Source organism: Homo sapiens, chromosome 2 (genome assembly GCF_000001405.40).
Source record: "Homo sapiens chromosome 2, GRCh38.p14 Primary Assembly".
Lineage (NCBI taxonomy): Eukaryota > Metazoa > Chordata > Mammalia > Primates > Hominidae > Homo > Homo sapiens.
Window position 1 is genome coordinate 55,708,808 of NC_000002.12, and position 9,846 is coordinate 55,718,653.

General features: G+C 42.1%; 1 annotated feature.

Annotated features, from left to right (window-relative positions):
• Nucleotides 8,234–8,426: a silencer, noted in NCBI's record as "fragment chr2:55944176-55944368 (GRCh37/hg19 assembly coordinates)". NCBI's record gives its function as "represses an EF-1alpha promoter that drives an FKBP-Casp9 reporter gene in an ReSE screen in K562 erythroleukemia cells {active_cell/tissue: K562}" and the evidence as "EXISTENCE:reporter gene assay evidence [ECO:0000049][PMID:32094911]".

Below are 9,846 nucleotides of genomic sequence, written 5' to 3' on the forward strand. Positions count from 1 at the left end.
GAAATATGCTTACTGTGTCTTGGATATGAAACAGGTGGCTCAGCAGACAAGCATGAGCTGTTGTAATAAATGGACTATTATATGCAAAGAACCTTTACATTATCATCGTTAACCCTCATTAAAATCAAAAGCTTTTAGCTTCTCACAGCTTATTTTCTTTTAAAGAGATGATGTTCAAGGTCATGCTGTAGTCTTTGAAATGTTTACATTTAAAATAAAACCTCGAGGGCCGGGCCGGGTGGCTCACGCCTATAATCCCCTCACTTTGGGAGGTTGGGACGGGTGGATCACGAGGTCAGGAGTTCAAGACCAGCCTGGCCAAGATGGTGAAACCCCCGCCTCCACTAAAAATACAAAGATTAGCTGGGCCTGGTGGCAGGTGCCTGTAATCCCAGCTACTTGGGAGGCTGAGGCAGGAGAATCGCTTGAACCTGTGGGGCGTAGGTTGCAGTGACCCCAATGCACTCCAGCTGGGTGACAGAGTGAGCCTCCATCTCAATAAATAAATAAATAAATAAATAAAGCCTCTGCTTATTCTTGTGAATCAATCTTATGAGAGAGATGGATTTGAAGTTGAGCAGTAGTATCAACTTTAATTTTTTTTTTTTTTTTTTTCTGAGATGGAGTCTCCCTCTGTTGCTCAGGCTGGAGTGCATTGGTGCAATCTTCGCTCCCTACAACCTCCACCTCCAGGGTTCAAGCAATTCCCCTGCCTCAGCCTCTCCGGGTAGCTGGGACTGCAGGCACGCGCCACCCTCCCAGCTAATTTTTTTTGTATTTTTAGTAGAGATGAAGTTTCACCATGTTGGCCAGGCTGGTCTCCAACTCTTGACCTCAGGTGATCTGCACGCCTCAGCCTCCCAAAGTGCTGAGATTACAGATGTGAGCCACCGTGCCTGGTCAACTTTAATATTTTATTGTCCTTTTCAGTCTCTCATATAGCTTTCAAAAATTATTGAGTTCACAGAAATCCACTCACATTTGCAGTTTCTCTTTCTTTTAGCAATCCTTATCTCTTTTTTTCCTGGTTCTCATACGCATCATTCTCAATATCACTAACCATGCATGGAGCCTATATCATTACGTGAGAAAGCACAGCAATTTCTTTAGTAAATGTGTTCACATTTCATCCCTTTCAATACAGACTCTGATGGACTCTAAGCAAAGAAATGCCAGGGTGAAAAGGGTGTACGAGATTTCTCTTAGGCTTCTGCCTGGTTCTCATTAGGCCTTGTTTAATTTGGTTTTGGCTCTAGCTACATAGCCCAGTTTAATTTACCTCCCCTGCCCCAATATTTTCTTGTGGAAAATTTTAGTTTTAGTTTTTAACTTTTGTAAAATTTGGTTGCTTTTGTTGAAAGATAAACTTAGGCACATTAAAATTTGGAAGAATTTATTTGTGCAGGCAGAGATTCATGAATTGGGCAGCACCAGACCTTAAGCAGTCCAGGACTCCATCAAGGAGGTTTGATGGGAAAACTTTTATAAGGTGTTTGTGGAAGAAAGACAAAGAAAATATTTGATTGGTTAAAGTGGAAAGTTCCTAGTTAGAGGTTAGTTGGTGGTTTCTGATTGATTAAGCTTAAGTTTCATTTTACTGTTGACAATGAGTTAGGTTTTGGTTTACTAGTAGGGGACCCAAGGTGCCGGAGTTGTTTCAGCCTAATGACCTCCTAATTAAATTTTTTAAATACTCTGAATGTTAAGAAAGTATACTTCACTCAAGACTTGAGCTCTAGCTGGGTGTGGTGGCTCATGCCTGTAATCCCAGCACTTTGGGAGGCCGAGGAGGGTGGATCGCCTGAGGTCAGGAGTTTTAGACCAGCCTAACCAACAAGGTGAAACCCTGTCTCTACTAAAAATACAAAAATTAGCCAGGCGTGGTGGCCGGCGCCTGTAATCCCAGCTACTGGGGAGGCTGAGACAGGAGAATTGCTTGAACCCGGGAGGCAGATGTTGCCGTGAGGCGAGATCACACCACTGCACTCCAGCCTGGGTGACAGCGCGAGACTCCGTCTCAAAAAAAAAAAAAAAAAAAGACTTGAGGTCTATACACACTGAAATTGTTATCCCTTTTGATGAAGAGGTAAATTTGGAAATGATGCTTAAAATTTTGGGGTTTGGTTTCAATAATGATTTATTGAATATGTTGAATGTAGGCAGTATGTTGTTTTCACATTTATCATTTAAAAATTAATTTTAACTTTAATTTTAAGTTCTGGGGTACATGTGCAGGATGTGCAGGTTTGTTACACAGGTGAACGTGTGCCATGGTGGCTTGCTGTGCCTATCAATCCATCACCTAGTTATTAAGCCCAGCATGCATTAGCTATTTTTCCTAATGCTCTCCCTTCCCCCACCCCACACCCTGACAGGCCCCAGTGTGTGTTGTTTGCCTCCTTTGTCCATGTGTTCTCATTGTTCAGCTCTCACTTATAAGTGAGAACATGCAGTGTTTGGTTTTCTGTTCCTGGTTAGTTTGCTGAAGATAATGGCTTCCAGCTCCATCCATGTCCCTGCAAAGGACATGATCTTGTTCCTTTTTGTAACTGCATTGTATTCCATGGTGTATATGTACCACATTTTCTTTATCTAGTCGATTATTGATGGGCATTTGGGTTGATTCCGTGTCTCAAGATCTAGAACCAGAAATACCATTTGACTCAGCAATACCATTGCTGGGTATATACCCAAAGGAATATAAATCATTCTATTACAAAGATACATGCACATGTATGTTCATTGCAGCACTCTTCACATTTATCATTTTATTTAATTGTAGAGCATGGCCATGCAGACTTGGCCTAATATAAATTCATGAGCAATGTGCAACTGGGAATTCAAGTGATATATAAGACATTGTTTTCTTTCTTTCTCTCTCTTTCTTCCTTTCTTTCTTTCTCTCTTTCTTTCTTTTTTTTTTTTTTCGCGGAGTTTTGTTCCTGTTGCCCAGGCTGGAGTGCAGTGGTGTGGTCTCGGCTCACTGCAACCGCTATCTCTCAGGTTCAAGCGATTCTCCTGCCTCAGCCTCCCAAGTAGCTGGGATTACAGATGCCCACCACCACACCTGGCTAAATTTTTTGCATTTTTGGTAGAGAAGGGGTTTCACCATGTTGATCAGGCTGGTCTAAAACTCCTGACATCAGGTGATCCACCCGCCTCGGCCTCCGAAGTGCTGGGATTATAGGTGTGAGCCGCCGCGCCTGGCGAGACTCTGTTTTCTCTTGAGAAATTTGCAAGGAGACATATGAGTATAATGAGTCTATATTTTGAGATATAAACTTATTCCTCTCTCCTAATATTTTATGCTATCCTACCATTGTCCCCAACCTAGGAAGTAACTAGGGTACTTTAAGTGCCCCTAGGAGAGATTGTTAAAAAGAAGAAAGAAAATAATAAATACTTTTTGAGTTTCAAAATACATACAGACCATATTTTGAAAGAAATGCTTTGTGAGAAAAGGGGCATAAAGTTCTGCATGCCATAAAAAGTAGATTAAGAAGAATATGGAATGATGTGAGGAGCATTTTTCCAGTATTTTGAAAAGACAGCCTAGAGAGAAGATAAATGCAGGTTGGAGAGGGGTGGTCATAGGGACTTAAAACTTGAGGATCTGTAATAGAGGAGACTTGAGCTGAATGAGTTTTCAGTCCCCCAAAGAGCCATATTCACTTGTGCCTCAGTGATTTTGCTTATGCTGCTTATACGTTTGTATGCGGCTCAGCTGATGTTTCTGTTGGGAGGCCTGCTTTAGCCTACCCGAGTCTACCGAGTTTCTGTAATAAGTAAAGGGTTAACTCAGTAGGCCTGGGTTCCTCAAATTCTGCACATTCCAAAGGTCTTCAGGAAGGGTCCTTGAATGGTTCCTGGGAGGTAACCTCTGAGCCCTTAAAATATCCTTTCTGATAAGACTGTCTTTGTGTACCTGAGACTTTGGTTTACGTGGCTAGTTTATGCTAACAATGTGATTTATGATAAATGCCTGTTTTTGTGTGACTGAGGCCCTGGGCCACACTGTATCAGTTTGACCTCTGGAAGGAGGCTGGAGATAGAGTAAGTAGAGTTGGTCATGCAGGTATCCCACACCTATGTGACTGACCCCAATAAAAACCTCTGAACAAAGGCTTTGTGGGGTTCCCTGGTTGGCAACACTTTGTGCTTGTTATCACGAATTGTTTAACTGGGGGAATTAAGTGCTGTCTGTGAGATTCCTCTGAGAGATGACAACTGGAAGCTTGTTCTTGGTTTCTCATGGAGTCTGCCCTATATACCTTTTTTTTTTTTTTTTTTTTGCTGACTTAAGTCTGCATTCTTTTGCTGTAGTAAACCATAATTGTGAGTGTAATAGCTTTTCTGAATCCTGTGAGTCCTTTCAGTGAATCATCAAACCTGAAGGTGATCTTGACACTTTTTGATAATTTTTTTCTGTAACAATTATCACACTGTTCATTCATTCATTCATTCATTCATCCATCCATCCATTTAACCAATGAACTATTGAAGCCTGCCATGTCCCAGGGATTGTGTTAAGCCTAGAGGTATAGGAGTAAACATAATAGGCACAATTCTTACCATCAGCGAGTTTATAGTCTGGTGGTGAAGGAGAGAAGTAAACAGATAAATACAATTCAGCGTAGTAGCAGCTATGATGGGCATAGTGCAGGGTGCCATAGGGAGCAGAGAGATAAGAGGCCAACACAAACTAGTGAGGAGGGTGTCAGGTCAAGCTTCCTAGAGTAGGTGAAGAGCTGCTTGCTAAGTAGGCAAGTGATAAAGGGGTAGAAAAGAGTGATTAAAGCAGAGGCAACACATATATAAAAACCAGGAAGTGAGAAAAGTGAAGTGATTTTATTTTATCTGGAAAGGAATTTTTGTGGTTGTTGTTTTGAGACGGAATCTTGCTCTGTCACCCAGGCTGGAGTGCAGTGGCGCGATCTCACTGCCACCTCAGCCTCCTGGGTTTGAGTGATTCTTGTGCCTCAGCCTCCAGAGTAGCTGGGATTACAGGCACCTGCCACCACGCCTGGCTAATTTTTGTATTTTTAGTAGAGATGGGGTTTCACCATGTTGGCCAGGCTGGTCTCAAACTCCTGACCTCAGGTAATCCACCTGCCTCATCTTCCCAAAGTGCTGGGATTACAGGCATGAGCCACGGCGCATGGCCTGGAAAGGAATGTTTGAGGGAAAAAGTGGCAAGAGATGAGGCTGGAGAAATATGTAGTGGCCAGAGTCAAGTAAGCCATGGTATGCTTCTCTTAAACGGATGTGAAGAAGTCTAGATTTGGGAGAAAAAAGGTGAGTTCAGGTTTGGTCATGTTGATGTTGTTTAATGGTTTCTTCTTCCCTTCATCTGTAAGTTCCATAAGGTCAGGCAATACTATTTATTAAATATAACTTATTCTGTTGTAAGCCAATAGTATCATTCCTAAGATGCTTATCACTACGAAAAGTATATTATCAAAACCATTGTTTCCGGAGATTAAGGAAATTAGGAGTTGGAGAATTTTTAGAGGGGCAGTATCAAAGTTATTTTTGCTGCAGGGATTTCAATAATAAAGGAATTTTGAATATAAATATCTTTAGTTATTAGATGCTAAAAATAATAAATTATATTAAAACTGACAAAATAAACTTCTTCACTTTCATTACATTCCACTCCCTCCACTTATTCTTTTCTTTAATCTTTGGCCTTGACCTGGCAATTTTACTTGCAGCATACCTCGTAAACATCAAAGGTAAACGTAAGAGCAAACGCATTGCCCAGGTGAATAAATACCTTAGAGTAGCCACTCATTCCAGCAAAGTGGCTTTGTGTCCTATGCTTTTATACATGTAGTCAGCATCAGTTCTGTATCACGATCAAATTATTAAAGTACTGATCACATTATGGCCTAGGGAAATTATGAAAATTAGCACTATTGGAGAAATGGTTGCTATCCATTCCCCCATGATATGAAATGGCATCTTTGTAATACACTCAATTCCTATATATATTTTGTTTGTTTGTTTGTTTTGTTTTGTTTTGTTTTTTGACAGTCTTGTTCTGTCACTCAGGCTGGAGTGCAACGGCATGATCTCAGCTCACTGCAACTTCTGCCTCCCAGGTTGAAGCGATTCTCCTGCCTCAGCCTCCTGAGTAGCTGGGACTACAGGTGTGTGCCACCACACCTGGCTAATTTTTTTGTATTTTTAGTAGAGACAGGGTTTCACCATGTCAGTCACTTTGGTCTCGAACTCCTGGCCTCAAATGATCTGCCTGCCTCGACCTCCCACAGTGCTGGGATTTCAGGTGTGAACCACCGTGCCTGGCCCAGGAAGCTATATTTAAAATAAAACAAAACAAAAAAACTCTTCAGGAGATTCTGATATTTAGCCAGCTTTGTGTATGATGACTATAGATGATGTAAAGATATGTACTATAAGTCAGAATTCCTCTCTAGAAAATCAGTCCTGAAAGTGAGATGGCATGAACACAGCATTTCAGTTTAACCAACATTTATTGAATGTATGAGACACTGGGCTAGGAGATGGAGCTATAAAGATTAGTAAGTCATGGACTTTGCCCTTAACTCTGTTAATGAAAGAAACAAACACACAGCCAGGTAGCTTCAAAAGAAACCATGGTGGTCCGGCATGGTGGCTCATGCCTATAATCCCAGCACTTTGGGAGGCGGAGGTGGGCAGATTACTTGAGGTCAGGAGTTTGAGACCAGCCTGGCCAACATGGTGAAACCCCATCTCTATTAAAAATACAAAAATTAGCTGGGCGTGGGGGTGGGTGCCTATAATCCCAGCTACTTGGAGGCTGAGGCAGGAGACTCGCTTGAGCCCAGGAGGCAGAGGTTGTAGTGAGCCAAGATCACGCCATTGCACTCTAGCCTGGGCGACAGGGCTAGACTGTCTCAAAACAAACAAACAAACAAACATGGCAAGGTGCTATGATAGAAGCCCTGTGCACAGACTTCTGCTTGCTGAAGAATTCCAGGAAAGCTTCCTGAGAAAGATGAATTTTGAACTCAACCAGAATGACATCACCAGGTACAGAAGTGGAGCTGAGGATGCCAGAGGCCACTCCTGGCCCGACTCATTGTATCCTGTGTGACTAGCACTCCTGGGGTAATGCAATGGGGGCAGTTCTGGAAGAGGGGTCTTGAAGGGAAGATCAGCCCAGGCAGAACAGAGGTGGAGAACTGTAAAACAGCAGAGTGTGTTTAGGGAACTGGAATCAGTTTGCTCTTACTGTACTGTAAACTGTAGATGGAAAGTGGTAAGATGCAAAACTAGAGGATGGGTGATTCTGTGCTGTGGATCCGGGACTGCACTCTGTAGGCAGTGGAGAACTATAGGTGGGTTTAAGTAGGAGAGAGATGTAAAGGTCTGAATTTCCAAGATGTCTCCTGTGGTAGTGTGGAGGGTGAACTTGAGGGGGTAAGATCAGAAGACAAGAAAGAGACTAGTTGCTGTAGTTCCATGAGTGATGAGGATGACAAGAACTAGGGCATTGCAAGAGGGCAGAATGGGTGTGAATGTTAGAGATGTTCAGGGCATCCAGAATTTGGTTTATGATTACAGTAAAGGCTGAGGGGAAGGGGGGACTCCAGGATGACTCCCAGGTTTCTGAGAGATTTAGAGTGTGAGAGAAGATGATGTCATTTTTTTTTTTTTTTAGACAGTTTTGCTCTTGTTGCCCAGGCTGGAGTGCAGTGGCATGATTTCGGCTCACTGCCAGCTCCGCCTCCCGGGTTCAAGCGGTTCTCCTGCCTCAGCCTCCCAAGTAGCTGGGATTACAGGCACCCGCCACCACGCCTGGCTAATTTTTGTATTTTTAGTAGAGACAGGATTTCATCATGTTGGCCAGGCTGGTCTCAAACTTCTGACCTCAGGTGATCCACCTGCCTTGGCCTCCCAAAGTGCTGGGATTACAGGCGTGAGCCACCGCACCCGGCCATGATGTCAGTTTTTGGTCATGCCAAGTCTGAGGTACTTGTTAACCACCTTGTTCTGTAATACAAGGTTGAAAGTAATAAATGACACAGAGGAAACAGAAATAGAACTCAGAGGAATAAAATAAAAAAAGACTCAGAAGAGGATAAATAATTTCTGGTTTGCAGAATTAGGAAAGATAGAATCATAGAGAAGGATTGGTCTAGGCCTTGAAGGATTGGTAAGATTTGGATATGGGGATATGATGGGAGGGAATTGTCCAAGTGAAGGCACAGTCACCCTCAGGATATTGTTTGGGAACAACTGAGACTTCCTGTTTGTGTGACTATAGAGTAAGCTAAAGCCAGATGAGGAGGATGTGGCTACCACGGTAAGTCGGAGCCAAGTCCTGAAAGGCACTGGGGTTGTGTCTCTAATGAGCACTGGGCTTCGCATTGGGCTTCGCATTAGGCAATACTTTGAATGGGACTATGCTTTAGGAAAAATAATCTCAGGTATTATATAAGATACATTAGAAGTAGAAAAATTAAAGGCAGAGAGGAGTCAGGACACTACACCAGGATGCCAGAAACAGGAATGGAGAGGAGGGACCAGTGACTAAGAAGAGCGGGAAATTATTGCCTTTGAGAGTGTGGCTCAGGTCAAAGGTTAAAGATGGTTGGATTACAAGGGATTGAGAAGATGGTACTGCCTCTATAGAAATAAAGGCGTCTAATAGAAAAACAGGTTTATACTGAACCCCTAGATCTGGCTCTGAACATTTAGGTACGTGCTGTACTAATTTGAATCCAGAGAGATCCATGTAGTGGGTCAAGACACTTTACAAAGTGCAAAAGTTAGCTTTACGAAATGTCAAGTAAATGGAAACAAGGCCAGTTCTTTCTTTTTCTTTCTTTCTTTTCTTTTCTTTTTTTTTTTTTTTTGAGATGGAGTTTTGCTCTTGTTGCCCAGGCTGGTGTGCAATGGCACGATCTTGGTTCACTGCACCCTCCGCCTTCCAAGTTCAAGTGATTCTCCTGCTTCAGTCTCCTGAGTAGCTGCGATTACAGGTGCCCGCCACCACACTGGCTACCTTTTTGTATTTTAGTAGAGACAGAGTTTCGCTATGTTGGCCAGGCTGGTCTCGAACTCCTGACCTCAGGTGATCCACCCTCTTTGGCCTCCCAAAGTGCTGGAATTACAGGCATGAGCCACCGTGCCCAGCCACAAGACCAGTGATTTCTACAAAAGTCTTATGTGTTTTCAAACGAGACCAGCATAATATTTACAACTTGAGGTAATCTCAAGAGTTCACTAGAATTCTATATTAATAAATTAATAGATTGTTAAAGTGCTTTGGATTCTATAATGTAAGTAAAGATACTTTCTGCCATCATAAATAATTGATTGAGGCAAGCAAGAATCATCAATGGATGCTTAAACTAGTGGGTGAAAATTCGAAGAGTAACAGATATTTACACGATCTAAAATTTAGCTTTCTTCCATTTTTCTTCATATTTGTTTTTAATGCACAAACCATTCGCCAGCTTCAAAGAGTTAAAAGAAAATAATGGAAATCTCATTTATTGTTCAGCATACTGGCAGCCTTTGGACACTAGGAGAATTCATTTCCCACTAGAGGGCGCTCAGGTGTTGCTTAATTCACCTCTTCAGGTTTTTGCGACCTCCTTTGTAACTCAAACTGTAAAATGGAATTTTAAGTTTTATATTTGTGGGTGAACTTAACTAACATTTTAGGATTAATGTAGCAACAACATTTTAAAGCTTTGGGGTTCATATTAAAAATAATTACCCAAATGACAGCAATCAAAACTCCCTCCAAAAATAAAAAATAAAAAATAAACTTCCACCATCCCCCAAATCAATTGTTTTTGTTTTCCAGCAAACATTTCTGGTCCTGGT